Source organism: Homo sapiens, chromosome 11 (assembly GCF_000001405.40).
Source record: "Homo sapiens chromosome 11, GRCh38.p14 Primary Assembly".
Taxonomy (NCBI): Eukaryota; Metazoa; Chordata; class Mammalia; order Primates; family Hominidae; genus Homo; species Homo sapiens.
The window spans coordinates 27617531-27635520 of record NC_000011.10 but is presented as its reverse complement, the minus strand read 5'-3'; the positions used below and the strand labels follow the sequence as shown (position 1 = coordinate 27635520).

The following is a 17990-nucleotide window of genomic DNA, read 5'->3' as shown; positions in this document are numbered from 1 at the left end:
AGAAGGTTTGACATGCATTTCTTCATTTAATGCTTAGAACAGACCACCACCAATAATAACAACTCCACATCTTATTTTTCAGATGGGGAAACTATGATTCAGAATGATAACAATTAATACAAAGCTGAAGCAAGATTCAAATCCAAGTCTTCTGACTTGAAATCCTACTTTCTTGCCACTTTTTAAACTATTTATCTGATGTTGGCAATTCATGGCAATCAGAGGATGGATGAAGGGCTCTGGAGGTTTTGGTTACAGTCAGGGAGCATTAGAAAGAACAAGTGTGCTTAGATGAGGCGGGAAAGCCCAGGTACATGAAGGAAAAGAATAATTTGCCTAAGTTGCCTAGTTTAAAATCATTTTTAATTGGAAAGGTATTTTTATCTTCATTTACAGATGTGGAAACTAAGATTCAGAATGATTATTCAAAAATCACATAGCTAGTGGCAACCTCAAGGATTGAAACCAGGTGTGTCTATCTCTAAATATAGTGATAAAAAGCATGCATTTTGGGTTGAACTCTGCTCTCCACATAGATCTTGGTCCAGCCCGCCCCCTAACCCTGGTGTCCTCATGTGAAATGAGGCTAATAATTGCCAGGCCTCTGAGCCCAAGCCAAGCCATCACATCCCCTGTGACTTGCACATATACGCCCAGATGGCCTGAAGTAACTGAAGAATCACAAAAGAAGTGAATATGCCCTGCCCCACCTTAACTGATGACATTCCACCACAAAAGAAGTGTAAATGGCCAGTCCTTGCCTTAAGTGATGACATTACCTTGTGAAAGTCCTTTTCCTGGCTCATCCTGGCTCAAAAAGCACCCCCACTGAGCACCTTGCGACCCCCACTCCTGCCTGCCAGAGAACAACCCCCCTTTGACTGTAATTTTCCCTTACCTACCCAAATCCTATAAATTGCCCCACCCCTATCTCCCTTTGCTGACTCTCTTTTCAGACTCAGCCCACCTGCACCCAGGTGATTAAAAGCTTTATTGCTCACACAAAGCCTGTTTGGTGGTCTCTTCACACGGACACACATGAAATTTGGTGCCGTGACTCGGATCGGGGGTCCTCCCTTGGGAGATCAATCCCCTGTCCTCCTGTTCTTTGCTCCGTGAGAAAGATCCACCTACGACCTCAGGTCCTCAGACCGACCAGCCCAACGAACATCTCACCAATTTTAAATCAGGTAAGCGGCCTCTTCTTACTCTCTTCTCCAACCTCTCTCACTGTCCCTCAACCACTTTCTCCTTTCCACTCTTCAATCTCTCCCTTCTCTTAATTTCAATTCCTTTCATTTTCTGGGAGAGACAAAGGAGACACGTTTTATCTGTGGATCCAAAACTCCAGCACCGGTCACGGACTGGGAAGGCAGCCTTCCCTTGGTGTTTAATCATTGCAGGGACGCCTGATTATTCACCCACGTTTCAAAGGTGTCAGACCATGCAGGGATGCCTGCCTTGGTCCTTCACCCTTAGCGGCAGGTCCCGCTTTTCTGGGAAAGGGGCAAGTACCCCAACCCCTTCTCTCCTTGTCTCTACCCCTTCTCTGCTTTTCTGGGGGAGGGGCAAGTACCCCTCAACCCCTTCTCCTTCACCCTTAGCGGCAAGTCCCGCTTTTCTGGGGGAGGGGCAAGTACCCTTCAACCCCTTCTCCTTCACTCTTAGTGGCAAGTCCCACTTTTCTAGAGGAGGGGCAAGTACCCCAACCTCGTATCTCTGCACCCCAATCCCTTATTTCTGTGCCCCGACCCCTTATTTCTGTGCCCCTACCCCTTATTTCCACGCCTCATCCCTTATTTCCATGCCCCATCCCTTATTTCTGTGCCCCATCCCTTATTTCCGTGCCCCAACCCCTTATCTCTGTGCCCCAACCCCTTTTTCCACTTTTCTGGAAGGTAAGAACCCCCAAACCTCTTCCCTCTGTTTCTCTACTCTCTTCTCTAGGCTTGCTTCCTTCACTATAGGCAACCTTCCACCCTCCATTCCTCCTTCTACTCCCTTGGCCTGTGTTCTCAAAAACTTAAAACCTCTTCAACTCACACCTGACATAAAACCTAAATGCCTTATTTTCTTCTGCAATGCCGCCTGACCCCAATACAAACTCAACAGCAGTTCCAAATAGCCAGAAAATGGCACTTTGACTTTTTCCATCCTACAAGATCTAAATAATTCTTGTCATAAAATAGGCAAATGGTCTGAGGTGCCTGACATCCAGGCATTCTTTTACACATCAGTCCCTTCCCAGTCTCTGTGCCCAGTGCAACTCGTCCCAAATCTTCCCTCTTTCCCTCCCGCCTGTCCCCTCAGTCCCAACACCAAGCGTCGCTGAGTCTTTCTAATCTTCCTTTTCTACAGACCCATCTGACCTCTCCCTTCCTCCCCAGGCTGCTCCTCGCCAGGCCGAGCTAGGTCCCAATTCTTCCTCAGCCTCTGCTCCTCCACCCTATAATCTTTTTATCACCTCCTCTCCTCACACCTGGTCCAGCTTACAGTTTCGTTCCGTGAGTAGCCTTCCCCCTCCTGCCCGGCAATTTACTCTTAAAAAGGTGGCTGGAGCTAAAGGCATAGTCAAGGTTAATGCTCCTTTTTCTTTATCCCAAATCAGATAGCGTTTAGGCTCTTTTTCATCAAATATAATAATCCAGCTCAGTTCATGACTTGTTTGGCAGCAACCCTGAGACACTTTACAGCCCTAGACCCTAAAAGCTCAAAAGGCCGTCTTATTCTCAAAATAATGTCAATCTGCTCCTGACATTAAATAAAACTCCAAAAATTAAATTCCGGCCCTCAAACCCCACAACAGGATTTAATTAACCTCACCTTCAAGGTGTACAATAATAGAAAAAAGTTGCAATTCCTTGCCTCCACTGTGAGACAAACCCCAGCCACATCTCCAGCACACAAGAACTTCCAAATGCCTGAAACTCAGCGGCCAGGCGTTCCTCCAGAACCTCCTCCCCCAGGAGCTTGCCACAAGTGCCAGAAATCTGACCACCAGGCCAAGGAATGCCTGCAGCCCAGGATTCCTCCTAAGCCGTGTCCCATCTGTGTGGGACCCCACTGAAAATCGGACTGTTCAACTCACCTGGCAGCCACTCCCAGAGGCCCTGGAACTCTGGCCCAAGGCTCTCTGACTGACTCCTTCCCAGATCTTCTCGGCTTCGCAGCTGAAGACTGACACTGCCCGATGGCCTCGGAAGCCCCCTAGACCATCACAGACGCAGAGCTTCGGGTAACTCTCACAGTGGAAGGCAAGCCTGTCCCCTTCTTAATCAATACGGAGGCTACCCACTCCACATTACCTTCTTTTCAAGGGCCTGTTTCCCTTGCCTCCATAACTGTTGTGGGTATTGACGGCCAGGCCTCTAAACCTCTTAAAACTCCCCAACTCTGGTGCCAACTTAGAAAATACTCTTTTAAGCACTCCTTTTTAGTTATCCCCACCTGCCCAGTTCCCTTATTAGGCTGAGACACTTTAACTAAATTATCTGCTTCCCTGACTATCCCTGGACTACAGCTATATCTCATTGCCACCCTTCTTCCCAATCCAAAGCCTCCTTTGCGTCCTCCTCTTGTATCCCCCCACCTTAACCCACAAGTATAAGATACCTCTACTCCCTCCTTGGCGACCGATCATGCACCCCTTACCATCTCATTAAAACCTAATCACCCTTACCCCACTCAACGCCAATATCCCATCCGGCAGCACGCTTTAAAAAGATTAAAGCCTGTTATCACTCGCCTGCTATAGCATGGCCTTTTAAAGCCTATAAACTCTCCTTACAATTCCCCCATTTTACCTGTCCTAAAACCAGACAAGCCTTACAAGTTAGTTCAGGATCTGTGCCTTATCAACCAAATTGTTTTGCCTATCCACCCTGTGATGCCAAACCCATATACTCTCCTATCCTCAATACCTGTCTCTACAACCCATTATTCTGTCCTAGATCTCAAACATGCTTTCTTTACTATTCCTTTGCACCCTTAATCCCAGCCTCTCTTCACTTTCACTTGGACTGACCCTGACACCCATCAAGCTCAGCAAATTACCTAGGCTGTACTGCTGCAAAGCTTCACAGACAGCCCCCATTACTTCAATCAAGCCCAAATTTCTTCCTCATCTGTTACCTATCTCGGCATAATTCTCATAAAAACACACGTGCTCTCCCTGCCAATCGTGTCCGACTGATCTCTCAAACCCAAGCACCTTCTACAAAACAACAACTCCTTTCCTTCCTAGGCATGGCTAGCATGGTCAGAATTCTTACACAAGAGCCAGGACCACACCCTGTAGCCTTTCTGTCCAAACAACTTGACCTTACTGTTTTAGCCTAGCCCTCATGTCTGCGTGCAGCGGCTGCCGCTGCTTTAATACTTTTAGAGGCCCTCAAAATCACAAGCTATGCTCAACTCACTCTCTACAGTTCTCATAACTTCCAAAATCTATTTTCTTCCCCATACCTGACGCATATACTTTCTGCTCCCCGGCTCCTTCAGCTGTACTCACTCTTTGTTGAGTCTCCCACAATTACCGTTGTTCCCGGCCCAGACTTCAATCCGGCCTCCCACATTATTCCTGATACCACACCTGACCCCCATGACTATCTCTCTGATCCACCTGACATTCACCCCATTTCCCCAAATTTCCTTCTTTCCTGTTCCTCACCCTGATCACGCTTGATTTATTGACGGCAGTTCCACCAGGCCTAATCGCCACACACCAGCAAAGGCAGGTTATACTATAGTACAAGCCACTAGCCCGCCTCTTAGAACCTCTCATTTCCTTTCCATCGTGGAAATCTATCCTCGAGGAAATAACTTCTCAGTGTTCCATCTGCTATTCTACTACTCCTCAGGGATTATTCAGGCCCCCTCCCTTCCCTACACATCAAGCTCCAGGATTTGCCCCACCCAGGACTGGCAAATTAGCTTTACTCAACATGGCCTGAGTCAGATAACTAAAATACCTCTTAGTCTAGGTAGATTCTTTCACTGGATAGGTAGAGGCCTTTCCTACAGGGTCTGAGAAGGCCACTGAGGTCATTTCTTCCGTTCTGTCAGACATAATTCCTCAGTTTAGCCTTCCCACCTCTATACAGTCTGATAACAGACGAGCCTTTATTAGTCAAATCAGCCAAGCAGTTTTTCAGGCTCTTAGTATTCAGTGAAACCTTTATATCCCTTACGGTCCTCCGTCTTCAAGAAAAGTAGAATGGACTAAAGGTCTTTTAAAAACACACCTCACCAAGCTCAGCCACCAACTTAAAAAGGACTAGACAATACTTTTACCACTTTCCCTTCTCAGAATTCAGGCCTGTCCTCGGAATGCTACAGGGTACAGCCCATTTAAGCTCCTGTATAGATGCTCCTTTTTATTAGGCCCCGGTCTCATTCCAGACACCAGACCAACTTAGACTGTGCCCCAAAAATCTTGTCATCCCTACTATCTTCTGTCTAGTCATACTCCTATTCACCGTTCTCAACTACTCATACCCTGCTCTTGTTTACACTGCCAGTTTACACTGTTTTTCCAAGCCATCACAGCTGATATCTCCTGGTGCTATCCCCAAACTGCCACTGTTAACTCTTGAAGTAAATAAATAATCTTTGCTGGCAGGACTATGCTGTATCTCCTTAGGCACTCTCTAATCAGATATCCTGAGTCGTCCCAATTCTTAGACCTTTTATACCTGTTTTTCTCCTTCTGTTATTCCATTTAGTTTCTCAATTCATCCAAAACCGTATCTAGGCCATCACCAATCATTCTATACAACAAATGTTTCTTCTAACATCCCCACAATATCACCCCTTACCACAAGACCTCCCTTCAGCTTAATCTCTCCCACTCTAGGTTCCCACGCTGCCCCTAATCCTGCTTGAAGTAGCCCTGAGAAACATCACCCATTCTCTCTCCAAACCACCCCCCAAAAATTTTTGCCGCCCCAACACTTCAATACTATTTTGTTTTATTTTTCTTATTAATAGAAGAAGGCAGGAATGTCAGGCCTCTGAGCCCAAGCCCAGCCATCACATCCCCTGTGACTTGCACATATACGCCCAGATGGCCTGAAGTAACTGAAGAATCACAAAAGAAGTGAATATGCCCTGCCCCACCTTAACTGATGACATTCCACCACAAAAGAAGTGTAAATGGCCGGTCCTTGCCTTAAGTGATGACATTACCTTGTGAAAGTCCTTTTCCTGGCTCATCCTGGCTCAAAAAGCACCCCCACTGAGCACATTGCGAGCCCCACTCCTGCCCGCCAGAGAACAACCCCCCTTTGACTGTAATTTTCCCTTACCTACCCAAATCCTATAAATGGCCCCACCCCTATCTCCCTTTGCTGACTCTCTTTTCGGACTCAGCCCACCTGCACCCAGGTGATTAAAAGCTTTATTGCTCACACAAAGCCTGTTTGGTGGTCTCTTCACAGGGACGCACATGAAAATAATAATAATCAATGATAAGATCTTCTTGTATGTAATAGGTGAGATAATTCCTGTGATGCACTCAATACAGTATCTGTTACATACGAAATGTCTAGTAAACATTAGCTACTAGGATTCTTTGTTAGGGTTGAGTGCAGTGGCTCATGCTTGTAATCCCAGCACTTTGGGAAGCTGATGTGGGGGGATCACTTGAGGCTAACAGTTCGAGACCAGCCTGGCCAACATGGCAAAACCCCGTTTCTATTAAAAATACAGAAATTAGCTGGTGTGGTCGTGTGCGCCTGTAATCCCAGATGCTCAGGAGGCTGAGGCATAAGAATCACTTGAACCCAGGAAGCAGAGGTTGCAGTGAGCTGAGATCACACTACTGCACTCCAGCCTGGGTGACAGAGTGAGACCCTGTCACAGAAAAAAGAAAAGAAAAGAAAAGAAAGAAAACATTATGGTTAACTTTCATTGCTTATCTTGAGTATTGCCCCTCTACTCAGTGCCTTTCCAGAAAGGTACAAGTAAATGTGAGAAAATGGGAAAAAAAAAAATGGTCAAGTAGAATGGATGTGTATGTGGCTGTCAGCTCACTGTAACCTCTCTGGTCTATCTTTGATCCTTAGACACAGACTTGGTGAATGGAACACAGTTGATTGAATCAGAGATGAACACTGACCTAAACAGAAACAATCAGGTTCTTCCTCTTGGGAATTTTAAATTGGGACTAGAAAAGTCTTGCATATTTCTGGAACTATTATATGTAAACCTGAAAAGAATGGGATGGTCATATGCCACCTTGTGAACTGGGAGTCAAAGGTAGACAGTCTGCATAAAGATACAGAGGAAGGCAGGAACAAGAGGAAGTTCACTGCCTCAATCCCTTCTTCCCAAGACCTAGCCATAATCCTTTCCTTGGGTTCCACTTCCATTTCCTCCTTGTGGCTTAAGCTGGCTCAAGGAGTCCCACCTATTGCAGTGGTGTCTGTAGCCTTATAACCGTGCTACTCAGCTTACATCAAGCAAGAATCCAAATTTCAAAATCTTTGAGTTACAGGCTTGTTTCTTTAGGAAAGAAGACAATGAAGCTGCATACCCAAGCACTTAGAGGAACACTTAAGCCAATCTGTGTCTGGGTTGAGGCTGTATGATAAAACTATTTCAGGTGATTTGGGCTTTAAGGACACAAAATTATATAAAATACTGCCACCTAAGATTTCAGGGGTTCCGGCCAGGTATGGTGGCCCCTGTCTGTAATCTCAGCACTTTCTGAGGCCAAGGCAGGTGGATCGCTTGAGCCCAGAGTTCAAGACCAGCCTGGGCAACATGGCAAAACCCCACCTCTACAAAATATACACAAAATGAGCCACACATGGTGGCATGTGTCTGTAGTGCCAGCTACTCAGGAAGCTAAGGTGGGAGGATCACTTGGGCCCAGGAGATTGAGGCTGCAGTGAGCCAAGAGTGTGCCACTTCACTCTGGAGTAGGTGAGAGAGTGAGACCTTGTCAAAACAAAAAAAAAAACAAACAAAACAAAAAAACAGAAAACAAAAAAACAGATTTCAGGGGTTCCAATTTGACTGCGAGCCACCAAGACATATCCATCACTTAGACCCAGTCATGCCCAATACAGGCAAGATAGCAAGGGTTGCACAGGGGAGTAAAGAGCCACCTGGGAGAAAACTCAGCCTAAGGGAAGAGGGTACTAGGCAGATAGTCTTGGTGCAAAAATAAAGCCTTAGTCATCAAAGGGAAGGAGCAAACCCTAGCTCAGTATTATATCTCTCAGCCCAGTTCCCCACGGCATCTCCTCTGAATCCTGTGGAGCAATGCAAAGGTATGTATGGAGGCAGAGGGATGTTGTGACAAAAACCAACCAAGCTAAGCTCCCTAAGACATGGCACTACCAGCAGTTTGGTAGCCATGTGAAACACAGACCATGAGAAAGAAACATTCATTCTACCCACCAGTGCATGCAACCCCAAATGACCTTAAACACCTCTTGGCGGCGGTGTCCAGTGGGAGATGGTGGTACCCAGCAAAAATAGTTCACAGGGAGCTTTGACAGAACAAGGTAGAAGCCATGTAGAAACCCAGAGGACACAGTGTCTGATACACATGCAGTAACCCCTGTGGGCTCTTGGAAATAATTGGGAAAGGGAAGACTTTAAAAAAAATACCAGAAGTACTGCAAGATCAATTAAGGGTAGTGGGAGGTGGGAGCAGTTAAGCACAGGTTAGAAATGGCAATAACTCATGAGACATAAATATACACTTGGGTAACCACAAAGATTGGGACCAGACGACCTGAAAGAATTTAATGAGGCTGAAAATTCAGGCCAGTGATGTGAAGTACAGATGGCTGCTGAATTGCCGAACTGAGAGTCATCGAACCTCTTTTCCCTTAATGCAAATGGTGACCTCAGTGATACACAAAGAAGTTTCTCCTACCCTATTTGAATACCACTGTACACATTCTCATTAGAGACTCAGGGAGCAGAGAGGATGCCAGCCAGCATCAGAGAAAAACAAGACTCCTCTTGAATTTTCTTGGTATCAAGAATGATGACTGGTATAACATTAACTCTTTGATATCTGACAGGGCATCAGGTGCCCTGGATATGCAGAAGCGTGAGGGCATCCTGTTAATCAAAGGGAAGCAGATTCTGGGGGAGGCCACTGTAGCAAAGTGGGATTTTGTGGTCACATGACTTGGAGTCAAAGAGACCAAACCTCAAATTTTGGTTGTACCATTTACCAACACTTTAAGCAGCTTAATTCACTTCTCTGGTCTCCAATTTATCTTTCTGCAAAACTGGATGTTTTGCGTGATATGTAAAGGAAATAGTTACCTGAAGCGCCTTTTACTTTTCCTGTTATTAACTGTGTTAGGTTGTAAGTCTTGTAACTCTATTGTTATTTTCCTTCCCGTTCCTTCTTTCAAAACTCAAATGCCCAGGGAACAAGACAGGTAACCTAAGGGAGCATGGGGTCAGGTGGGGACTGGGGCACACAGGACTGCACCTGCCCCACCTGAAGAGGCTTCCCTAGATCCAGCCTACTCTTGCCCATAGAAATGCTAGCCCAGGATTATCAGGTGTGATTTTTCAAGGGAAGCCAGAAATCTGGAGTTTCATGTGAAGTCTCCCATTTTAAATGTTGCACCTGATTCAAATTTTTAACAAACACATTAAAAGGCAAATCCATAACAGGCTTCAATCAGTCCATGACAGCTGGCTTGCATCTTCTGGCTCCATTTTGAGGAAGGAGATAACCATGAGATCCCTGCCTCAACCTCTCATCAGAAACCAGCTCAAACTTTCCAAGGCATTGCTGCCTCCCCGCAAGAAGACTCCCAGAGAAGGTCATATTGAAGGAGAAAGGAAGACATGACTCAGGGATGGTTTCTATGGCTCTCTAACAGGGCTCCTTATTATCCACATTGGACCAAGGGCTCTAAGGTTCCACCTGCAGCTCCCAGAAGTCCCAGGGGATGACACCTCCTCAGCTCCCATCTTCCCACACTAGGACTCAGATGCTATGAGGCTGACATCCCCTCATGCATGAGATTTCATGTTCTAGGATGTGTTCTAACCTCCTGATTCTCCTTTGGGTGGCCCCACTGCTCCAGGAAGAACTGGGCAATAGAGATACCCTTTCTGCAAAGCCAAGGGATTGTATTTACAAAGCTTGTAGGAGGATTGATTGATTTTGACATCATCTCTCAGGCTGCTGAAGCTCAAATGAAAAACAAATTATCTTGAGAATCAGGTAAAGGAGGAAATGTCACTGAGAGGGACAGCCACAAACAAATGCAGATGGAGGTCCCTCGAGAGAAACACTGGCGGTAGAGGAAGTCAACACATTACAAGAAGGTCATGGCCTCGGTGGATTAAAAGGCTATCAAATTCACAAAGAACATGATGATAGTTAAACTCTAGTCCAGCAGAGAGGGAGTGCTCTTCCAAGGGTTTTTTCTTCAAAAATCAGACAATTTTAAAATCTTCTATGGCTAGCATTGCAAGCAGAGTGAAAGGAGAAAACTCACATGTGTTAAACACCTACTGTATTCTATGTGTGATGATTTATATATATTCTTTAGCGAGACATGGCACAAGTTACTTAATCACACTGAAACTCAATTTGCAGCTATAAAATAAGAATCTATGGTACTTACCTTGTAGGCTAATTTTAGAAAATAAGACCAAGTATGGGAAAACCCTTGGTACTGTGCCTGCAAATATTAAGTATTCAGTAGACCATTGCTGTCATTATCTTCTTATCTTAATAATTCCTCACAACAGCCCAGGAATATTATGTGTATTTCATGATGAAAAGTTAAATGCAGAGAACTCGCTTGTCCAAATTGTTTGCCCAAATTCATCCAGCTGTTAACTCAAGTAGACTGGATTCAAATCTGGATTTGCTCTTGTTTTTCTTTTTTATATATATTTTTGACAATTTTTTTTTCTGGTTTAGTGATACTAGCAAGCCTGCATTCTAAAATATTCTAACCAGAGTTATTTTTCTTTTCAAGCAAAATTAAATGAGGCAATGTTTAATATCTGACTAAACCCTCCCAACACTCATGGTTCATCATCAATGCCTTCTTCTCCTCCATCCCCAACAGTTTCACCCACCTGATGTCCAGGGCCAGACCCTGTACTGCCAGTGTCCCCTCTGCCATGGATCTTGGTTTTGGGGTGTCCATTCCAGGCCAGCTCACTGTCATTTAATGCAGGGTAACTTCTTGGCTGGGTGTGCATCTCTGCTGAGTTCCTACTTCTCACTCTCTTGCTACTGTCACTCCATTCCTCAACTGTGTCCCCTATTGCCCATTTTGTTGGCTCCTCCATCCTGACATCTGATTTGGCATCTCTGTCTTGACCTTCCAACATGGCATCAAATTAGTTCTTCTGTCCCTTCCCACTCCTAGGACCTACCAGTCTGCCCTGCTCATACTTGATCTGGATGAGACTGATACCCTGCGAGACGCAACAGAATCAGCTCCTGGGATTGTGTTAGCAGAATGACGGGAGTGTGAGATCCACCACATGGCGAGGCACCCCAGGAACCTGTTTTCTTCTTGAAGAGCAACCGAGAACTATTTCCAAGTTATCCTTCACTTTGAGGTCTAAACCATACATTTGTCAATTTTAATACTAGAGTCTAGCATTTATTTAATAATAGCCTACTTTGTGAAAGAAAGGCAGATAAAATGAAAAACAAATCTCAGTATTTAGACTGACAACCTGATTTCAGAAATACTAAGCAGTGGTTTTGTGTGTGCGTGTGTGTGTGTGTGTGTGTGTGTGTGTGTGTGTGTTTTAAGGGAGCAGTGTTGGCAATGTATGTGTTAGGATAAAGAAAGTGTATTGTTACTACAGTTTGATGAAATTTACGTTTTACTCAGGGTCAATCTTAAAGCAAAGGTTTATTTATGAGTGAATGAAAGCAAAGTCTCTGTCTATTACTCATTAACAGAATGGCAGGTTAGGTCCTGCAAGAATTGCAGAGGACGCAGACCTGAGTAAGCCACAGTGACGCCTTCCTGGACTCACTGTCCATAGGAGAAGATAAACTTGCATATGGAAAGTGTCATCATAATGTGTTAAGAAGGGGCCTGAGCCCTTAACCCTGCCTGAAGTCTCAGGGATGCTTTCTTCAAGGCACTACCACTTGAAGTAGCTATTGAAGGATAATAAATATGATGACATTTACTGAAGACTTATTAAGTGGTAGGCACTGCCATAAGTGCTTTCCACCATTACCATTTGATCCTAACAACTGTTTAATGAGATGAGAATTATCACTATGCCTATTTCCAGATGAGGAAACTGAGGCACAGAGAGCTTAAGTAACATGCCCAAAGTCACTCAGCTAGGAAGTAGCAGAGGCAGGACACAAACATAGGAAGTCTGAGGATTTGAAATTGATCAGAAAGGGAAAGGAGTGAATACAACATGAGCAAAGACACAAAAGAGTAAAGCAACACTGGTGTGAGGGGAACTGTGAGAGTTACACAGTAGACACTGTGGCCATGCCCGCATCCCTTAGCTGTGTTCCAGAAAACTCTTTTTGCACTCTTGACCTGAAGGCTTTTCCTTAAACCAAGGCAGGCTGTTCAGCCTTTGCATGGCAGGCTAGATGTGCTGGTAATTAGCACATTAGCACATTACGGTGTGCTGATGGGATTTCATGTATAAACACCCGAGCACCCTTGATCTAAAGGCAGATAACTCTGAAGCATGGGTTTTAACGCTGTTTCTCAGCATTGCCCTTTGGGATTAAGCCCGGTGACAGCTGGCTTGATAACATACCTTATATCAGCCACCTCCCTTCCTGATCTTTCCTGCACTTTCCAAATATAAACCTCTTAAACTTGAACCCTTGTCCCTGGGTCAGCTTTTGGAGGAACACAAGCTAACACAAATGTATTATACCGTTCCAAAAATATAAAGTAGGAAACTGAAGAGGCATAGCAAAGTCAATATAGCCCAAAGTCTGTCATCAATCCACAGACAGATACTTGTTACCTGCCCAGGACAGTGTATGTTTAGGAATGCAGAGTATGTATAACAATATGTATGATATCACTTCAGGAAGTCTTTAGGAGATTATCTGTGTCCCATCTCCATTTTACATGATCTACCTGAGACCTCGAGGTGGACATGGTTTGTCCAGGGTCTCTTAGCTAGTTAGTTGTAAAGCCCAGATTATTGTTTCCTATACACTAATAATGAGAGTCCTATTCACCAAGGCTAATTAGAGAGACTTTTAGAATAATCTTTGCACCAACTCCACCAACTTTATCAAATGCATGAAGACTACGATCTTGAGAAATGCATTTTCAGGCTCTTTCTCTAAAACCAGCATATGCTAACCAACCCACCAGAGTTGGCCGGGGCTCGCAGTGCAGAGAAACAGATAACTATGCTCCTGTTTGCAAATAAACTTCTGTATTGATTCACTAGCCACTTGGTCAACCTAGTCAGTTCACTTCTAGAAAGTGATGATAGAAAAAGAACACAGAGACGTACAAGTACGTGCACAATACAGCACTGTGTGAAAGAGCAAAACAATAGAAACCACCTGAGTACCCATCAGTGGAGCAGTACCCAATGTCACAAATAAAATAAGGACACTCTAGGAAGTGTCCTTATTATTTCACATAGTATAGTGTCCACACTATACTATGTGAAAAAAAAAGCAAGCTGTAACTGCATATATATAGTACAATCCCCTTTTTGCTTAAAAAAGAAAAGCTTATGTGTAGAGAGATTTTTGCTTTATAAGCACAAGAACATTCTGGAAAGAGACTTAGAAAACGGTCAACAGTTTGTAGTGGTATAATTTTTGGAATATTAACTTGTGTTTGTCCTCCCAGTGTTTCTTCCCCTCCTCCCTTGTAAGCAGATGGTCAGGGCTTTTTGTGGCCTCCTGCCACAAGGGAGATGTTTGTCATAGGGCCAGAAGCCAAAGTTGTCTGCAAGACACTTCCGATTCTGGTACTGAATTTTGTAAAACCTAAACCCATTGAGGAGATTATGCTTGGTGTCCTGGAGGAACTGGAGAGAGAAGGGAAGGTGTTTGGAGTGTGAATGGAATCCTAGTCTGAATTCTGGAGCACTCTGATGAGGAGGAAGACCCTAGGGAGGCTGGGCTAGGGAGCTGGGAATTCCAAAGCCTCACCAAAGATTCTCCTGATTTGAAAAGCGGCAGCAGAGAAGCCAGAACCGGAAGACACCTTGTAGTCTGAGACCATGGACACCTCAGCAGTTAATATTGTAGAGTAAGTTCAATGGCTGAAGAGATCTTATTAGGGTTTGGTGCTACACAAAACCCTGAGACCCTTGTCCATCCCTGAGGGTGACAATAATATCTGAGACCAAATTCCTAATTACCTAATATGATAAAGAGAGTTGCTATAGGCTTAGAATTAATTTTATGTAAAAAGTAAAGTGGTATTTTTTTTTTGCATGTCTGAGTTTGTGGAATAAGATTCATATTTACTACAAGTAATGGAATTGGAGATTCAGAGGGGAGAAAGTCACTTATCACATTAGTGTAATTTTCTGATGGTAGGATTATGGAGAGTTTTAGGTTTTCCCTTTTTTTCCCCAACTTCTCTCCCCTCAGTATTTTAAAAATAACATTGTGTGGGTTGTTTTTTTTTGTTTTTGATTGTTTTTTGTTTTTCAAACAGGTCTCACTCCTATCCATGTAGGCTAGAGTGCAGTAGTGCAATCTTGGCTCACTGCAGCCTCGACTTCCTGAGCTCAGGTGATCTTCCCACCTCAGTCTCCTGAGTAGCTGGGACTCCAGGTGTGTGCCACCATGCCTGGCTAAATTTTTGTATTTTTATTAGATACAGGGTCTCACCATGTTGCCCAGACTGGTCTTGAACTCCTGGGCCTGCCCACCTCAGCCTCCCAAAGTGCTAGAATTACAGGCATGTGCCACCATATCCAGCCTAATAACATTGTTTTTAATGTTCATTAAGTCATCCCACCCTCTCAGTCTTGCAGAAGCCTCTCAAGAGGGACAGAATCAGTTGCAAAGTACCATTTCTGACCCTGAGACATGGATATTATTTGTTCATTTAAATGTCACCTGAAAAACCCACTCACTCAAATGGTCTGTGAAGCTTGCAAAAACAGGAATGCTTACCCTCCTGGGTCCTGAATTTTTGGTTCTCTTGGACTCTTTGAAATTCTTCTTTCTCAGAAAGGAGCCCTCTTTCTATTTCCCCTCAAAGTTGTGACTTGACCCTCACATCCCTTTCTTCTCCAGGGCCCCTTGATAAGATTCTTTTAAAATTTCTTTGGAGGGCATCCCTTTTAGGAAGAGCAAATGCCTTTTAGGATAGATATGAAAGACAGAGGATATGGTGATAGCTGGGGACAGCTGCACAGTCTGAAGTGGACTCTGTTGTAGAGTACTACAGAAAAGATGACTCAGTGTTTAAAAAATGCAATAATTCTAAGCCCCCTGCGTGGAAAAAAAAGAAGAGGCTCTTTTCTACACATCAGTTCTTGGGTCCTACCAATCCATCCAGTCTTAGTACTCACTGCTCTCTAACACAGTCTCCAGACTCAGACTCTCAGGCTCTCTCCCTCCATTCTCCCCCTCAAAAGCACAGACCCCCATCTCCTGGTCTTTGTACAAGCTGCTTCCCCTTCCTGATGGACCACCTGCATTGCACTTCTCATAGCCTAGTCCTATTTATCTCTCCATGATTCTACTTCCTCCTGGCTATAGTCACTTTCTCTGAATCCAGATGTTACATATACACATGTGTACTAGTCGAGAGGGAGAGGAGAGAGAGAGGAGATTTTAGGGAATTGGCTTATTCAGTTGTGGGGGCCAGCCAGTCCAAAATCTGTAGGGCAAGCTGGTGGTCTGAAAATTCAGATGAGTTGATGTTTCAGTCAGTGTTGAGTCCACAATCTGCAGGTCAGGCCAGGCTGGAAATTCTAGTAGGGTTTCTATGCTGCAGTTTTGAGGCCAATTTCTTTTTTCTTCAGGAAACCTTAGTCTTTGCTCCTAAGGCCTTCAATTGATTGGAGTAGACCCACCCATAATATATTAAGTAATCGGCTGTACTCAAAATTTACTGACTTAAATCAGTAACAGAGAACAGAATGACCTCATAAGCTTAGGCAGAGATACATTGATTGAAAGTCTTTATATCTGCACAGTTCCTGTGACTGTGAACTTAACCATCCAGGGACAGAAAATGTGGATTTCTCATTCTTGCTGCTACAGCCTCTAGGATTCTTGATGTAGAAATGGCGTTTTCATTGGGGATGAGTTCAACAAGGGGACAGGAAGCAACTCTCTGCTAAGCCCCGAGTCATCAACTGTCATAAAGTGCCCATAGGAGCAGACTGTTAAAAGTTGTGATCGAAATGAAATTCATGATTTTTCTCTGGATTTCTTTAAGCCATGCTAAACATAACGGCTTAAATGGTTGGTCAAATAGTTGATGAAATGCTAATTGGGTCATCCTCTCTCCTCTCTGAACCCCTGCCTTGAGAAACAGACAGCAGACAGACACCACACTCACACACGTGCACACACACACACACACACACACACACACGCACACACACACACTCTGATATGAATGAATCTTTGCCCCAATTAACTGAAGGCTGACCAATTAACTTAAACTCAAGTCTGACATATTAATCTTAGAATATATCTTCATGAAAGCTCCTGAGGATCTGAGTCAGAGAAAAGAAGGATGCCAAAAGGGGAAGCAAAAGGGACAAACGTGTCTGTCTCACAGCTTTGCCTCTGCCAGCCTCTAGAGTTAACCACAATAAATAGCACTTAAAAAAGGGTCCCCACTGCAGTTGACAGTGACCATAAGACATAGCCCTGCTTATAGATAGAATATATCTGGTATGGTAGGGTTGAAACATCTCTTGGCTGTTGTTTTTTTCCCTGAAACCTGTCATCTCCGAGAGGGATGGTATATGTAATATTTTAATATTTAATATAAAACACACACAAGTAGTATTTCATCTGCCTGTATCATGTTCCTAGAAGTATATTTAGAATTTTAAGCTGTTCCAACTATTATACATTTTGCCAAATTTTAGTCATTGAGGGAGTTGTGTTTAAACATCTGTTGACTGCAGATGTTAAGCAGTGTGAAACATTCTTTTAAGATGCCAAAATGCAATTAAAATCATAATATTTTTCCTAGTAACAAATCATGCTAATCAGTGAAAATTTAGAAAGATAAAACTCAATGAACAATGAATGGTAATAATTCTCTAAATAATCAGCTGTGGCTCATGGCAGGGGAGAACTAACTTTTAACTAAATTATGTTAAATCAATGCCAATTTTCTCAGCTCCTGAAAAGTGTTCTCTTTTTTTCTTCAAGCCAGGCAATGGTCAGGTGGAGTAAAACATAAGGAAGAACATCTTTTTGGTTCAAAGCATGAAAAAAATTGGGTAACACACCTTCCTTACATCTAGCTGGGCCATTGAACCAGAATATGCCAATGTTTAAAACACTGAAATGCCAGCTTTTCTCTTAAAGGACAGCATGGAGGTGTCTGATTTCTGCTTGGGCTGAGGATTCAGGAGAAGATGTGTGGAACACAGCCTGGACATGCCCCAACCTGGTTGATGAATTCCACCCCAAGTAGTGGAAGAAACACACCTACAACATGAGCAGAGAAGATTTTTCTTCTGTACTTTCCAGGACTTGAAGCTGCTTTGTTTTTTGGTCGCTGGGTGGGGAAGGAGGAACAATAGTATAGCTTCCAGAAGAGAGAAGAGAGATATCTCTTGAGTGTGAATTAAGCAGTACCAAGAGGCCTCAAGCTAGCTCTCTCTCCTGCTTTAAATTCTACTGTTAAGAGTTTTTCTTTAAGTTTAAAACCTTGAAAGCTCCATGATGCTCCTGAGTAGAACAATAAAGCCATTAGTAGTCAATGGCCGTCTTTAATATTTTTCTTCCATTTCAATTTTAGTTCTAATTTTATCTGACTCCTAAAAATATGTTTCATATTCTCATGAGGGCTGGGCCC

The 17990-nt window shown here is 43.9% G+C and overlaps 2 long non-coding RNA genes across 6 annotated transcripts in view, besides 5 other annotated features; one reads left to right on the top strand and one right to left on the bottom strand.

The window, feature by feature from the left end:
• The window catches only part of BDNF-AS (BDNF antisense RNA), a 191320-nt gene that overhangs the window by 62651 nt on the left and 110679 nt on the right, over positions 1-17990 (bottom strand). The gene's annotated exons all lie outside the window — the stretch shown is intronic.
• Positions 78-967: an enhancer, noted in NCBI's record as "OCT4-NANOG-H3K27ac hESC enhancer chr11:27656101-27656990 (GRCh37/hg19 assembly coordinates)". NCBI's record gives its function as "activates a minimal SCP1, AML or CMV promoter by ChIP-STARR-seq in naive and primed H9 embryonic stem cells {active_cell/tissue: H9 hESC(naive and primed)}" and the evidence as "EXISTENCE:reporter gene assay evidence [ECO:0000049][PMID:30033119]".
• Positions 894-17895, top strand: LINC00678 (long intergenic non-protein coding RNA 678). The gene is made up of 4 exons (NR_102708.1): positions 894-1190; positions 11376-11571; positions 17339-17409; positions 17498-17895. It is a non-coding gene; the product is annotated as a long intergenic non-protein coding RNA 678 (long non-coding RNA).
• Positions 968-1857: an enhancer, noted in NCBI's record as "OCT4-NANOG-H3K27ac-H3K4me1 hESC enhancer chr11:27655211-27656100 (GRCh37/hg19 assembly coordinates)". NCBI's record gives its function as "activates a minimal SCP1, AML or CMV promoter by ChIP-STARR-seq in primed H9 embryonic stem cells {active_cell/tissue: H9 hESC(primed)}" and the evidence as "EXISTENCE:reporter gene assay evidence [ECO:0000049][PMID:30033119]".
• Positions 2748-3637: an enhancer, noted in NCBI's record as "NANOG-H3K27ac-H3K4me1 hESC enhancer chr11:27653431-27654320 (GRCh37/hg19 assembly coordinates)". NCBI's record gives its function as "activates a minimal SCP1, AML or CMV promoter by ChIP-STARR-seq in primed H9 embryonic stem cells {active_cell/tissue: H9 hESC(primed)}" and the evidence as "EXISTENCE:reporter gene assay evidence [ECO:0000049][PMID:30033119]".
• Positions 5596-6382: an enhancer, noted in NCBI's record as "OCT4-NANOG-H3K27ac hESC enhancer chr11:27650686-27651472 (GRCh37/hg19 assembly coordinates)". NCBI's record gives its function as "activates a minimal SCP1, AML or CMV promoter by ChIP-STARR-seq in naive and primed H9 embryonic stem cells {active_cell/tissue: H9 hESC(naive and primed)}" and the evidence as "EXISTENCE:reporter gene assay evidence [ECO:0000049][PMID:30033119]".
• Positions 6485-6779: a silencer, noted in NCBI's record as "tiled region #104; K562 Repressive non-DNase unmatched - State 24:Quies". NCBI's record gives its function as "represses a minimal TATA promoter and a strong SV40 promoter by Sharpr-MPRA in K562 cells {active_cell/tissue: K562}" and the evidence as "EXISTENCE:reporter gene assay evidence [ECO:0000049][PMID:27701403]".